Source organism: Homo sapiens, chromosome 12 (genome assembly GCF_000001405.40).
Source record: "Homo sapiens chromosome 12, GRCh38.p14 Primary Assembly".
NCBI lineage: Eukaryota > Metazoa > Chordata > Mammalia > Primates > Hominidae > Homo > Homo sapiens.
In genome coordinates, this window is record NC_000012.12 from 22,591,534 (window position 1) to 22,608,328 (window position 16,795).

The 16,795-nt window shown below is 36.0% G+C and overlaps 1 long non-coding RNA gene and 1 pseudogene across 1 annotated transcript in view; one reads left to right on the forward strand and one right to left on the reverse strand.

Annotated features, from left to right (window-relative positions):
* The window catches only part of ETNK1-DT (ETNK1 divergent transcript), a 36,040-nt gene that overhangs the window by 2,527 nt on the left and 16,718 nt on the right, over positions 1-16,795 (reverse strand). The gene's annotated exons all lie outside the window — the stretch shown is intronic.
* Positions 4,468-5,557, forward strand: LOC112268094 (small integral membrane protein 30-like; annotated as a pseudogene).

Genomic DNA, 16,795 nt, shown 5'->3' on the forward strand with positions numbered 1-16,795 from the left:
TGATAGAAAACTTTAGTTTTAGAAACTTTATTTTTAAAAACAGCTCAAAATTGCCTTCATCATATTACTGATTTAAATATTACAAAAAATATTAAACATTTACAAAAGTATTACAGAAAGACTAGCATAATGAAACCTCATACATGTACCACCCAGATTTGAAAATTATTGGAATTTTGTCATATGGGCTTTAGCTACCCTTATTTTCTTTCTTTTTGTTGCTAAAGTATTTTAAAGCCCCTCCAGGACCTCATGTGACTTTATCCTACATACTTGTAATTCTACTGATTTTTAATTAAATTATTGATTAAGTAGTTAACAGAAAACAGGATATTACAGGAAGCATCTAGTGGGGTGCAGAGTCTAGCAATTAATCTTTTCTCATTTAATCAAAGACAGCAGCAGGGCTCTAGTAAAATCAATTATGTTTAGAAATGGAAATTTTTAAAAATTCAAAAACAAGGAAGCATTTTAAGTATTCTTACAGCCTTTACTTCTGTTTTCCTTCCTCTTGACATATTCCCCATTAACAACTGGCTACTTCTTATCTCTTTTGCCCCTCAGTGTAACCAGGATTTATGTAAATCATACGTCTTAACTCAGCAAGAAATTGGCAGGGTCCTAAGACATAGTTCCAAGTAAATTTTATTTTTATAGTAAAATCCTGGCCCTTCTGTCTGGGAGACCTTTCTAGTCCTTTACATGTCAGCACTACCACTTATGCTAATATTATAATTGTGTATTTATCAGTATTTTAACATAATTTTTCTTAGTTTTACCTGAAAAAGGAGACTAAGAAATAAAATGCCCAATGCTGATGAAGGTATATATTGTGGATATTTTAATGTATTTCTGGTGGGAGTATATATATTTGAATCAAAACCAGTTTGACAATAATACTTGAGTACCAAGTTTCAATATTTGGTATCTTAAATTTTGTTAACTTGTTTATAACTAAACAGGATAAAAAATTATTAATGCGGAGATGACCTTCCCTCTACCAGACAGAATGCTGACTTTGTGTGTTTCATTCCAGCCTCTGCCTCCTTTCCCCCAGAGAAGGCTCATCTTCTGCCAGGCTGTAGTGATGGACTTTTGAGATGCAGAATTCAAAATTGGGAAGGGGTGAAGGTGGGGAGAGAAAAGCTAAATTGATCTGGGATAACTTAAAAAAAATAACTGATAGAGGGGGATAGAGAGAAAGAAAGCAGCTGAGAAAAGGGGAAAGGGGAATATTGGATTGTGGTTTATAAGTAAGAGGCTCCAGAATAATGTGGGGTTGCAGAGAATTGAAAAGAAGAGGAAAATGTGGGAAATGTTACTGAGGTATATGAATGGAATTTATTCACAATTTTAGAAGAGAGCCAAGTAAATTATTACAAGTCCTTTTAAAAATGTTTTGCCTATGTATACTCAGGCTGGAGTTCAGTGATGTGATCATAGCTCACTGCAGCTTCCAACTCCTGGGTTCAAGCAATCTTTCTGCCTTAGCCCCCTGCTGACACACATTCTTTGACAACATCCTTTTTTTTTGGAGACGGAGTCTCGGTCTTGCTCTGTCGCCCAGGCCGGAGTGCAGTGGGGGCGATCTTGGCCCACTGTAACCTTCACCTCCCAGGGTCAAGTGATTCTCCTGCCTCAGCGTCCTGAGCAGCTGTGACTACAGGCGCACATCACCACGCCCAGCTAATTTTTTGTATTTTAGTAGAGACGGGGTTTCACCGTGTTGCCCAGGATGGTCTCGAACTCCTGAGCTCAGGCAATCTGCCCGCCTCGGCCTCCCAAAGTGCTAGGATTACAGGTGTGAGCCAGCGCACCCAGCTGACAACATCTTTTTGATGGCAACATAACATTCTATTCATTGAACGTACTGCAGTTAATGTACTATTCCTCTATAATTGGATTTATATTATTTCAAATTTTCTACTATTTAAAAAACACTGTGATGAATATACTTATGCTCACAGCTTCTTAAGTTTTTTTTCACTAGGATAGATTCACAGAAGTAGAATTATGATGCGGAAGTTATAAATGTTTTATTTTGTCAAATTATTGTTTGTTGAAATGTATCAACGTACATAATCCTATCAAAAAGATATGACAATATCCATCATATGTACCATCAACATTGACTATTTTGTATCTTAGGGTCTTTTTTATGTAATTTTTTTTCATGTTTGATATATTTACCAGAGCATACATTGGATAAACCTTCCTATTCTCTTAGGAAACCAGTGACTCATCTTAAATTTACTTTCCACTTACTTCTTGAAAAAAATCTTTAACAGATCATCCCTTATGTTTTTACCAAGCTCTCTCTCTTTTCTATCTTCTTTCCTTTCTGCCTATCTTCCTGCTTTACCTTCCTGCTTTATTTCTTTCCTCTCATTTTTTGGTAAAGTTGTTTTGTATTTGTTTTGGAATAAACTTAAAAAGAATAAAAACAAGCTCTACCCTGATAATGATAATCTTGAGCACTTTTAGCAATGCAAAGAGAACTCATTGACTCACAAAGTCTCCCTGCCCCATTTCATGTATCTTATTTGTGCCTGGCAGCAATACAAAAATAAGATCCAATCTGTTCTGTACAAAATGCCCTTCAAATATCTGAAGATAGCTGCCTAAGTAGTCTCTTCTCTATGCTAAAGTGTCATAGTGATTTTAACCTTTCCACAAGCAACAGCATTTTTGAATGCTTCACTAACCTGCTCAAGTTTCTCTGGACACACTCTTAACTTTCTCGGAACAGCAGGATCTCAGCTGTGGCATTATATATCATTCGTACAACTACAACTGAAAATAATTGTCCATTGTAGAGGAAATGCCCTTTAGGAATGGATTCACACAATTACCTAATATTGCTCAGTTTTAGTAAGCAGTTCTTCTTTCCTTGAAGAGAACTACGTACTGAATCATGGTTTTCTTTCATATAGTGCTTGTGAAAATTAATGATATTTGGGCCAGGCGCGGTGGCTCATGCCTGTAATTCCAACACTTCGGGAGGCTCAGGCGGGCGGATCACCTAAGGCCAAGAGTTTGAGACCAGCCTGGCCAACATGGTGAAACCCCGTCTCTACTAAAAATACAAAAAAAAAAAAAAAATTAGCTAGGCACGGTGGTGCATTCCTGTAATTCCAGCTACTTGGGAGGCTGAGGCAGGAGAATCACTTGAACCTAGGAGGCAGAGGTTGCAGTGAGCTGAGACTGTGCCACTGCACTCCAGCGTGGGTAACAAGGGTGAAACCCCACTTTGATAAAATAAAAAATAATAAAAAATAAAGAAAGAAAATTAATGATATATATATTTTTTTATTATTATACTTTAAGTTTTAGGGTACATGTGCACATTGTGCAGGTTAGTTACATATGTATACATGTGCCATGCTGGTGCGCTGCACAATTAATGATATTTATAAAGTAAAACACTGGCTGGTATAATGTTCAATAAATGTTAATTATATATTAGTAATTAATTTTTTTTGGCAGTTATCCGAGTATCTGTTTACCCCTTGGTCTATGGATATAGATTAAGAAGAATAGAAGGATGGAATTGAAATGAAATAATAACCAAAAAAATGAAAAATATTGCAATGACAAACCAGGTGGACCTTTCTGAGGGTGTGGGGTTGGCCTTGTCTTTCTTCCGTGAATGGAATCTTGACTCCCGTATTTTTAGAAAAAGAAATAAATATTTTTTAAGGGTATATTTCTTAGTTATTATTTCTCTCCTTGCTAAATGGAGGCAATATTTTAAAAACCTCAATAGCACCACTGGTGGGAAAAACTAACTGGGATGCTGTTTAACCGAAGGTGGAAAGAGAGGAGACCAAGGGTTGGACATTGTTGTTTTGCCACTGAGGGCCCCGAGCTCTCCTAGGCCTTTTAATCATATCAAGTAGGATATTCTAGAATCGGCCAGCAGCTGGGGCTCTGGAAGTCAGAGATCAGAGCCAGGGAAGGCTCTGGGCTCCCAAACCTGAGCCTTTCCTCCTAGCCGCAGCCTCTTACCAAGGGCCAGCCCCAGACATCTTTCCCACCTGACCTGTTCTCCATACAGAATTCCCAAAGGGTTACTGGCCAGGAGGCACAGATACAGGTTAGATTTTCTGGTTATATTCCTCCACACCCTCATTAAAAGTCTTATTCTGTTGTATTTATTTTAGTGACATTATAAATTAATAACAGGCCGGGCACAGTGGCTCACGCCTGTAATCCCAGCACTTTGGGAGGCTGAGGTGGGTGAATCACTTGAGGGCAGGAGTTTGAGACCAGCTTGACCAACATGGTGAAACCTTGTCTCTTCTAAAAACACAAAAATTAGCCAGGCGTGATGGTGCATGGCTGTGGTCCCAGCTACTCAGGAAGCTTGAGGCAAGAGAATAACTTTAACCCAGGAGGCAGAGGTTGCAGTGAGCCAAGATCACACCACCGCCCTCTAGCCTGGGTGACAGAGTGAGACCCTGTCTCAAAAAAAATTAAAAAAAAAGTTAATAACAATTCTATAAATATTTGATTTGAACTGAATTCAGTGAAACCATTACTTTTCTTGATCGAGATGTTTGTTTTAGTGCAAACTAAGGATTTGTTTTAAATTACAATCATTACTAAATAACAGAAATAACATTTTTCTGTACTCTTATCATCTGTGTATAGAAAAGATAGTAATGTATCAAAAAGAAAGAAAATGCTTTGATTCCTGTAATGACTGCTTCCTGGAAAGCAGCCTCATGTGGAACCTCTTAGTCTCAGCATCCGGAGCTCTAGAAAAGGAAAATTTCAAGTCTGATAGAATTCTATGTATATCATTTCTTTGGAACCTTCAGCCCTCAAGATTTCAACAGCATGGCCTCAGTTTCAACATAGTTATCCTTAGTTCTCATGTCACAGTTTTGATGCTGCCTGTTGTTGAAGCAGAAGAAGCCAGTGATGTAATCGATCTCTTGTCAGGTGTGGTTCTCAGCATTACAGGCATTTGTGCTTACTTGCAGGTATTTGCACTAGAAAGATATGGACACATGTGACTTTGAAGGGCCTACTGAATCAAACCTCAGCCTGAAAACCTTTGTGCTATTGAGGCTAAACCTGAGCTTTGGTGTCTGAAAGTTTTCAAGAATCAGTAAATAGGGGAGTTTTACATTCTTCATTGTTTCCATGAAATGAGAACAAACAGATATATGTATATATATGGAAAAAGAAGAGTTCTTTACAACAAATAATGCACTGAAAAATGCAGCCTATGATTTGTATTTGCTGGTCAAAAAGGAGGTCAAAGAAGTAAGATGGCTGAAATTTTCATAATAGTTCATACTTTTAGAATTTCAAAGCACATAAAATAGAAAGAAGGAAGTTCTTGCCCAAAATTCTAGGAAATCACCACTGTTCACTTGTAATCACTGCGTCCTGAATCATTTCAGAGTCTTTTCTCCATATTTTTATTAAATTTTTGTTTTGTTATCTCCCAAGTTGATATTGTATTTAGATATCAAATAGTCAGCCAAAAAGGGGAACTTTTTATCTCTGGGGGAAAAAAAATTAGAAAAATGTGTTCAGTGTATCTAATACTGAAATGCAGAAAAGATTTAAAGACATTGACATGGAAAAGAGAGTTAATGTTTAAAAAAAACTTTATATTAACTGAGTAACATCCTCCTGATGAGAAGTAGTATATTAAATATAAACCCATTATGTTAAAAAAATAAAATCCTTTAATTACCGTTTAGTTTAAGTACTCTTTAATTGTAAGACAATTAGTTCAGGCTCTTTTTTGGTAGATTAATTTACGTGCTAGGAAACAAAAGATGAACAAGACAAACATAAATGTCTAGATTGTTGCTAAACTGAGTTTTCACTTAGAACTACTTCTGAAAATATTTCATCTTCATTTGAAGAAATTGTATCTTTATATCAGACACTTTTTTTTTTTTTTTGAGATGGAGTCTTGCTCTGTTGCCTAGGCTGGAGTGCAGTGGCGAGATCTCAGCTCACTGCAACTTCCACCTCCTTGGTTCAACCAATTCTCCTGCCTCAGCCTCCCAAGCATGTGCCTGGGATTACAGGCACATGCCACTACACCCGGCTAATTTTTTTGTATTTTTAGTAGAGACAGGGTTTCACCATGTTGGCCAGACTGGTCTCGAACTCCTGACCTCAGGCGATCAGCCCCCCTTAGTCTCCCAAAGTGCTGGGATTACAGGCATGAGTCACTGCACCCGGCCTTATATCAGACCCTTTACTCAAGTCTACAGATATGAAAATACCTGTAGCGAGGCTTGTAAAACTAGGATAATAGCCAAATTAATACCGATGTCACTCTAGTTTAGAATTTAAAAGGTATATCATTCCATATAAGAATATAAACCAAACAATATTAAGTTTGCTTTTTAAATAGAATCTTTTAAAAAAATTAATCACTGTATTACTATATTTACCTCTTAGAAGAATATTTCCTTGCATGCATTTGAGTATGTGCTAAGTAGAAAATTCCATTGTTTTGAGAAATAATGCACAAAGACTTGCAAAGTTGAAATGAGGACTTTACAACTGTGTCTGCACCATATTTGAAGTTAAAAAAGAAACACACCAAGCAAAAAATTTGAGGCAGTGTCTCAGTGAATTAAGACAGCTCACACACAGTAGAGTATCTATTTTAATAACAGCATAAAAGTGTGAAAGATTTCCCTGTTGCAAAAACATTTATTAGTCTATTTAGTTATTTCAGAATCATCCTGCACTTTGCTTAGTAAGACAAACAGTTAATGAGTTACTTGAGGAAGCTAAACACTCGTGTAGAATTGCAAGCCTTAGGTCGTATTCCACCAGCCAGCTCACTATCATGTTACTGGGAAATTAAGATCTCTTAGAACTGTTCTTTGACTTCATAGTAATAAATGCATCACAGCCTGAAGTAAACAGAGTGATCTTTAAAAAGCCAACAATTTAGATGTTTTTCATAATTTTTAATACCTATGTTAGAGTCAGCAATTTGGTGAGCAATAAAGTCAATTATCAGCTCTGCCAGTAAATCTCCTGTAACCTTATGAGAAAAGGTCATACTAACCTAGTACATTGAGCACCTCATGCTCATGAACATCAATGACTTTCCCAAAATATTCTAGTTATTCAAAACTTAATTTCAACTCTAATGATAAGAAATACAGCCATGCCCCACATAACAATGTTTGGTCAATGACAGATTGCATATATGATAGTGGTCCCATAAGATTATTATTCCTTTTAAAAATTGTACCTTTTTCATATTTAGATGCACAAATACCTGCCATTGTGTTACAACTGCCTACATATCCAGTACAAAAACATGCTGTTCAGGTTTGTAGCCTAGGAGCATTAAGCTATACCATACAGCCTAGGTGTATGGTAGGATAGACCATGGAGGTTTGTGTCTATGATGTTTGCACAGTTGTGAAATCACCTACCAGTGAATTTCTCAGAATATATCCGATTGTTAAGCAACGCATGACTCTATATATGACTTATTCATTAAATAACTCAGTCACTTATTAACTGACTACTACACGTCAGGCATTATACCAGGTAGGGAATACAAAAACAAATAAGATATCTTCTTATTTTTGAAGAACACGTATCTAGTAATGGGAAAAAAATAAACAGATAATTATAATACAATGTGATATAGAAGTACATTATTTATAACATTCCTAGAGGTGGCATTTGTACTGATCTGGAAATAAAAGTATAAGTTTTTGTCAAGCAGCAAACTGAAGGAGGGACATCCTTCAGATATCCTGCTGTCTTTGTTATAAATTATTAAGCACAATTCACAAGTGATATTTCTAGCATGATAAAATTTAATGAAAATATAAAAATTTTATTACACTACGTATTCATTACATTGTTTTTAATGTTAATATCAGGTGATTTACATGTATTGTAAATTATTTTCTTCTTAAGTATCGTATGTCATAAGTAACATTAATTCTTTCTTGGTTTTAAGGTTCTTAAACTCTTTAATGGCTCTAAATTTTTCCAGATGTGATCGAGTACACTCAGGTGGTATGGCCATGGACTCTAAAAGTTTTTAAAAGTCTTCAAAACTTTTATGCAAAATATGCATAATGAGCTTAATAAGCAACTTTTCTACCTTAGGGTATAAAGGTAAAACTTTTTTCTAAGTGACTTCAACTCTGTTTTATCAAATCCCCCTGACTCATCTCTTAATGATACCTCAGGAAAATCCCATAGATTTTCAGTCACATTCAGTTATTTAAAATTCAGCCTAGTTTGATGTACTTTTTATTTTTTTATTTTTTTTTTAATTTTCTGAGACAGAGTTTTGCTCTTATTGCCCAGGCTGGAGTGCAGTGGCGCGATCTCGGCTCACTGTAACCTCCACCTCCCAGGTTCAAGTGATTCTCCTGCCTCAGCCTCCTGGGTAGCTGGGATTACAGATGCCCACCACCATGCCAGCTAATTTTTTGTATTTTTAGTAGAGACGAGGTTTCACTATGTTGACCAGGCTGGTCTTGAACTCCTGACCTCAGGTGATCCACCCATCTCGGCCTCTGAAAGTGCTGGGATTACAGGGGCGTGAGCCACTGTGCCCAGTGCCTAGTTTTACCTACTTCTGTGCACGAGTGTCCCTTCCCCATCAATGTTAGCCAGCTTGTGGTCCGAGGAACTTGAAATGGGAAGGGAAACTCCTTCCTTCACTCCTAGTTAGAGCTCTTCACAGATAAATATGGTGGAGTCTCCTTCAGCACAGGTATAATGAACTATAGACTATGAACTTCATTATTTGTTTATGGGAAGTCAATGAAGCCATTAAGACTTTTATCTACCATTATCAACCAAGGCTTTCAGTGATGTATGTCTTGTGCGAACTCAGAATATAACATTTCACAATTCGTAGGATGTGGTAGCCGCTTTATAACCATACAATACTGTTCATTCAAGAAAGATTTATTACTTTGTGTCAGACACTGTGTGATGTAAGTCAAATGATAGCACACACACACACACACACAAATAGATTTCATTTGGATGTATCACATTTTAAAAAGGTGAAAACATGGTGCTAGTTAGTGAAAACAAAATATTTTATTTTTATTGATGCAAAATTAATTTAAGTGATCTAACTCTCTAAATATCTGAAGGTCCCCACTGGTATTAATAGTTCAGATTGACATAAACTGACCAATACTATTAATAAAAGGAAACGTGTACTGAGTAGGTACTCTGTGCTTTTGTGTTAAGTGATTTATACATTGTATTTAATCTAGTTAATAATCTGATGAGCTAGTTAGTAATATTATTCATATTTTACAATGTGAAAACTGAGTGTGAGTGATCATTACACCAGCTTAACTTTACCTACCTGCTAAGCCAGCCTTAAACTCCCATTCAAAAGCCAGCTAAGCAAGCCCAATTGGCTGACTGGATCCATGGTGTTTGTATAGATAACAATACACTTAAAAATTGGTTAAAAGGGTAAATTTCATGTTCTGTGCTTTTTAACCACAGTCTATATAATAAATAAATAAATAAATAAATAAATAAATAAATAAATAAATGTTGTATGACAATAATATGTAGCCAACAAAATTATGCTTTCTGTGAATTTTAGTGACATGAAAAAATGCATATAATGTGAATGAAGAAAGCATTATACAAAACCTGATATACAATATGATAAAAATGATGTAAGATATACATGTGTGTAAAATTATATATAAGTAAATCCATAAATTCATATGTATTTTATGTTTGTATGTTACATATAGCAAATAAATATGTGTAAATGTATATATACATATATAGATATATTTTTCTTTTTTGAGAAGGAGACTTGCTCTGTTGCCCAGTCTGGAGTGCAGTGGCACAATCTCAGCACACTGCAACTTCCACCTCCTGTGTTCAAGTGATTCTCCTGCCTCAGCCTCCTGAGTATCTGGGATTACAGGTATGTGCCACCACGGCCAAGTAAATAAATATTTTGAAAAAAATTGTTCAAACCTTAATATTCCTGGTTATTAGTTTTCACATATTGATTATCTGACTTTTTTCTCTCAAATTCTTTATATCTAAATACGTTTTAAACAATGATGTTAGCCTTATGCTGATTTTTGTGGTCTTGAAAGGAGTTAAGAAGTGAATATCCAGTTTCCTTAGCATTCCAAGAAGCTGTCCAGGAAGCCCATTTCAGTCTCACCTCATGGGGATCCCTGAATGTAAATAGAAAGGATTCAAAGCATACTACTACAGAAAATCATGAAACCACAAAGTAAGACAGCAAGAGAGGAAGAAAGAAATACAGTCTCTACAAACAACCAGAAAATAAATTAAAAAATGGCATTAGTAAGCTGTTATCTATCAATAATTACTTTGAATGTTGCCACGGTTTGACTGTGCCACCTGAAGTTCATATGTTGGAAACTTGACCTCCAACGTGGAGGTGTTGGGAGGTGCAGGCCTATAGGGAGGTATTTGGGTCATAGGGCTCTGTCCTAATGAATGAGTTAATGCCATTGTCACAGGAGTGAGTTCCTTATAAAAGGATGAGTTTGGCATCCTCTTGTTCTTTCTATCATCCATGTGATGCCTTCTACTGTGTTAGGATGCAAGTAGGCCTTTATCAGATGCCGATCCCTTGATCTTGGACTTCCCAGCCTCCAGAACCATGAGCCAATACATTTCTGTTCATTATAAATTACATAGTCTGTGGTATTCTGTTATAGCAGTGCAAAATAAACTAAGACAAATGTAAGTGGATTACATTCTCCAATAAAAGACAGAGTAGTTGAATGGATTAAAAAAAAACAGGACCCAACTATATACTGCCTAGAAGAGACTCACTTCACTTTTCAGGACACAAATAGACTGACAGTAAAGAGATGGAAAAAGATATTCCATGCAAATGGAAACCAAAAGACAACAGGGGTAGCTATATTTATATCAGATAAAACAGACTTTAAATTTAAAAAACTGTAAAAAGAGACAAAGAAGGTCATTATATAATTATAAAGGGGCCAATTCATCAAGAGAATATAACAATTGTAAATCTATATTCACCCAACATTGGAGTCCCTAAATATATAAAGCAAACATTTAAAAATCTGAAGGAATAGATAGATTGCAATATAATAATAATAGGGGCCTTCAAGTCCTACTATCAATAATGAACAGATCATCCACATAAAAAATTAATAAGGAAACACTGGACTTGCACTACACTTTAGATCAAGTAGACCTAAGAGACATATACAGAGCATTTCATCCAACAACAACAGAATACACAGTCTTCTCAAGAACACACGTAACATTCTCTAGGATAAATTATATGTTAGACCACAAAACAAGTCTGAACAAATTTAAGAGGATTGAAACATATCAAGTAACTTCTCTGACCACGATGGTATGAAACTAAAAATTAAATAACAGAAGTTTTGAAAATTCAGAAATATGTGGAAATTAAATAACATGCTCCTGAACAACAAATGGGTCAAAGAAGAAATCAAATGGGAAATTAAAAATTATCTTGAGTTAAATGAAAATGGAAACATAATATACCAAAACTTACAGGATGTAGCAAAAGCAATTCTAAGAGGGAAATTTATAGCAATAAATGCCTATTTCAAAAAAGAGGAAGTTCTCAAATAAATAATCTAATGTTATGCTACAAGGAATTAGGAAAAAGAAGAAAAAACTGAGTCCAAGGTGAGCAGAAGGAAAGAAATAACAATGATTAGAGGGTAAATAAATAAAATAGAGACTAGAAAAAAATTGAAAAATATAAACAATACTAAGAGTTGGCTTATTAAAAACATAAAATTGATAAAAGTGTAGTTATACTAAGAAAAAAAGAGAAGAAAACTCAAATAAAATCAGAAATGAGAGACATGACAACTGATACCACAGAAATAAAAATAATCATAAGAGATTACTTTGAACAACTATATGCTAACAAACTGGATAACCTAGAAGAAATGGATAGATTCCTCGACATATACAACTTACCAAGAGTGAATCTTGAAGAAATAGAAAATCTGCATCGAACAATAATGAGGAAAGAGATTGAATCAGTAATAAAAAGTCTCCCATCAAAGAAAAGCCCAGCGCTACAATAAAGTTTCAGGATACAAAATCAATGTACAAAAATCAGTAGCATTTCTGCATACCATTAATGTTAAAACTGACAGCCAAATCAGGAATGCATTCCCATTTACAATAGCTACACAAAACAATACCTAGGAATAAATCTAACCAAATAAGTGGAAGATCTCTACAAGGAGAACTATGAAACACTGCTAAACAATATCACAGATGACACTAATGGAAAAACATTCCATGCTCATGGATTGAAAGAATCAATATTGTTCAAGTGGCCATACTGCTCAAAGCAATCTACAGATTTAATGCCATTGCTATCAAACTAGCAATATCATTTTTCACAGACATATAAAAACTATTCTGAAATGTAAATGGATCCAAAAAAAGCCCAATACCCAAAGCAATCTTAAGTAAAAAGAACACAAGTGGAGGCATCATGTTACCTGACTGCAAACTATATGATAAGGCCACAGTCACCAAAACAGCATGGTACCAAACCAGACACATAGACCAATGAAACAGCATAGAGAACCCAGAAATAAAGCTGCACACTACAGCCATCTAATCTTTGACAAAGTTGACAAAAATAAGCACTGGGGAAATGACACCCTATTCAATAAATGGTGCTGGCATAGCTGGCTAGCCACATGCAGAATGAAACTAGACCCCTATCTTTCAACAGATGTATAAATTAACTCAAGATGGATTAAAGACTTCTGTTTTGTTTTGTTTTGTTTGTTTTTTGAGACAGAGAGTCACTCTGTCATCCAGGCTGGGGTGCAGTGCCAGGTTTATAGGTCACTGCAGCCTTGACCTCCCTGGGCTCAGGTGATCCTCCTGCCTCAGCCTCCCATGTAGCTGGGATTACAGGCACATGCCACCAGGCCCGGCTAATATTTTAATTTTTTGTAGAGACAGAGTTTCACCATAGTGCCCACACTGGTCTTGAACTGCTGGGCTCAAGTGATCCACCTACTTCAGCCTCCCAAAATGCTGGGATTACAAGCATGAGCCACTGCACCAGGCTTGTATTAAAAATTTAAATATAATACCTCAAACTATAAGAATTCTAGAAGAAAACCTAGGAAACACCATTCTAGACATTGGTCTTTGGAAAGAATTTATGACTAGGACCTCAAAAGCACTTGCAACAAAAACAAAAATTGATAAGTGGGACCTAGTTAAATTAAACAGCTTCTGCATAGCTAAAGAAACTAACAAGAGAGTAAACAGGCAACCTACAGAATGGGAGAAAATATTCACAAACTATGCATCCACGTAGGTCTAATATTCAGAATCTATAAGGAACTTAAACAATTCAACAAGCAAAAAACAAATGACCTCACCAAAAAATGGGCAAAAGACATGAACAAATACTTCTCAAAGAAGATGTACAAGTGGCCAAAAACAAGACATACGTCTGATAAGAGATTAACACCCAAAATGTATAAGGAACTCAGAAAATTCATTAAGAATAAAACAAATAACCTGATTGAAAAATGGGTGGGCCAAGCGTGGTGGCTTATGCCTTTAATCCCAGCACTCTGGGAGGCCAAGGCAGGCAGATCACCTGAGGTCAGGAGTTCAAGACCAGCCTGGCTAACATGGCAAAACCCCATCTCTACTAAAAATACAAAAATTAGCCAGGCATGGTGGCGCATGCCTGTAATCCCAGCTACTCAGGAGGCTGAGATAGGAGAATTGCTTGAACCTGGGAGGTGGAGGTTGCAGTGAGCCAAGATTGTGCCACTGCACTCCAGCCTGGGCAACAGACTGAGACTCTGTCTAAAAAAAAAAAAATAAGAGAGAGAAAAAGAAAAGAAAAGAAAATGGGCAAAAAACTTGAATAAACATTTCTCAAAAGAAGACATACAAATGACCAACAGATATATGAAAAAATGCTCAACATCACTACTCATTAGGGAAATGCAGTTTAATACCACAAACAACTATCACCTCATACTTGTCAGAATGGCTATTATCAAAAAAGATAAAAGATAAATTTTGGTGAGGATTTGAAGAAAAGTAAACCCTTTTACACTGTTGATGGGGATGTAACTTAATATAGCCATTATGGAAAACTGTATGGAGATTCTGCAAAAAACTAAAAATACAATTACCATATAATCTAGCAATGCCACTTTTGGTATATAAGCAAAGGAGATGAAATCAGTATGTTGAAGAGATGTCTGTGCTACCATGTTCATTAGAGCATTATTTGCAATAGCCAAGTTATGGGATCAACCTAAGTGTACATCAATGGATAAATGGATAAAGAAAACGTGGTATATATTCACAGTAAAATAATATTCAGCATTAAAAAAGAGGAAATTCTGTCATTTGAGACAACATGGATAAACCTGGAGGACATTATGCTACGTGTACTAAGCCAGGCACAGAAAAACACATGAACTCACCTAATGTGGAATGTAAAACAATCAAATACTTATATAGCCAGGCGTGGTGGCATGAATCTGTTGTCGCAGCTACTCAGGAGGCTGAGGCAGGAGAATTGCATGAACCCAAGAGGTAGAGGCTGCAGTGAGCTGAGATCGTGCCACTGCACTCCAGCCTGGGTGACAGAGTAAGACTTCCTCCCTCCCTCCCTCCCTCCCTTCCTTCCTTCCTCCTTCCTTCTCTCCTTCCTTCCTTCCTTCCTTTTCTCAAAAAAAAAAAAAAAGAAGAAAAAGAAAACCAACCAAATAAACAAAAAAACAATTGAACCCTTATAAAAGTAGAGAGTAGAATGGTGGCTATCAAAGGCTGGGGATAGGGGGGATGTTGGTTAAAAGGTAATAAGTTTCTGTTAGGAGAAATATGTTTTTTGAGATTATTGCACAGCATGATGACCATAGTTAATAATAAGTGGGAGTCGAACAATGAGAACATATGGACACAGGGAGGGGAACATCACACACCAGGGCCTGTCGGGGTGGGGGGCTAGGGGAGGGATAGCATTAGGAGAAATACCTAATGTAGATGATGGGTTGATGGGTGCAGCAAACCACCATGGCACGTTTATACCTATGTAACAAACCTGCATGTTGTCCACATGTATCCCAGAACTTAAAGTATAATAAATAAATAAATAAGTAAATAAATATAAATAAAAAAGATTTTAAAAGTTGCTAAGAGAGTAAATTGTGAATGTTCTCATCACAAAAAATGATATGTATTTGAGGTGATGGATGTGTTAATTAGCTTGATTTAATCATTCCACATTGTATATATATATGACATAATATCACTTTGTACCTCATAAATATATACAATGATAATTTGCCAATTTACAATAAAAATACTGATTTATGTTGTTTATGTCTAACAATGACTTCTACCTTCCCAAATCCCTTTCTGGGCATAAATATAGATATATATGTGCATACATATGTATTTTTTAATTTTAGTTTTTTAACTTGAAAACACATATGTACGGTTTGATCACCTTATTTTGTTTTTCATTTCAATGGATACTTTTTGTGACTACATTTTAATTTATTGACTGCCTAAGTTTATGGGGCCTGGGTAACACAAATTTCTTGTTTCCCACTTAGTATTTAGGTTATTTTTAAAATTTCAGTGTTCATGTAGCTCAGACCTATAGAATTAGCTGAAAATACTTAAGAAAAACAGGAAAACCATCTGAAAAATTCCAAAACAGACAAAAATTATTAAAGATGCATAATGATTGAGAAATTGGTAAATGGAGCATCATGTGTAAAAGTTAATTACTGAGAATGGGTTTTGACCACTTTGTCATTTAGACTAATCACCATTTGGATTAAATTATTTTTAACGAAACCATGTGGAGCTAATGTTATTTGTAATTATTGCTGAGTAGAAAAAAGACACTATTTGTTTCTTTTTACATTTTAATATTTTATAATTTAAAAAATGAGCATATACCAAAGAAGAAAAAGTTCTTGCACATCTTTATTCCTGAGTAACTTACTCTTTATGCTGCATATGCCTATGCAATCTTTTTTTTTTTTTTGAAAAAATATTTTCCCCCAAACTGGTTATTGGTGGCACAACAGAATCCCATTTATATTTGCATATTCTATTATAGCTGAGGTAGCCTTGGCTAAGCTGAGAGATTGATTTTCTGGAGACTGCTCTTCCCATTTCCCCTCCCTGCAGGTTTTTGTTTTTGTTTTTGAGACACAGTGCAGTGGTGCTATCCCAGCAAACTGCAACCTCTACCTCCCAGGCTCAAACAATCCTCCCACCTCAGTCTCCCAAGTAGCTGGGACTACAGGTGCAAGCCACCATATCTGGCTAATTTTTGTATTTTTTGTGGAGACGGGGTTTTGCCACATTGCCCAGGCTGGTCTCGAACTCCTGAGCTCAGGTCATCCGCTCACCTCCTCGGCCTCCCAAAATGCTACGATCATAGGCATGAGCCACTGCACCCAGCCCTGATATTTTTTTAAATGTTAAACACAGTGCTTATTTTCTCTTGCCCTATTCTGATAATAAAAAAATTTCTGATTTAGCAGTAGCCCGTTTTTGTATATACTTTTCTTATCAATAAATTTGAAAATAGTATTAATATATGCATAGTTTGGATATTTGTCCCCAGCTAAATCTCATGTTGAAATATAATCTCCAGTGCTGGAGGTGAGGCCTGGTGGCAGGTGTTTGGACCATGGGAATGGATCCCTCATGAAAAGCTTAGGCCATCCCATTGGTGATAGGTCAGTTCTTGCTT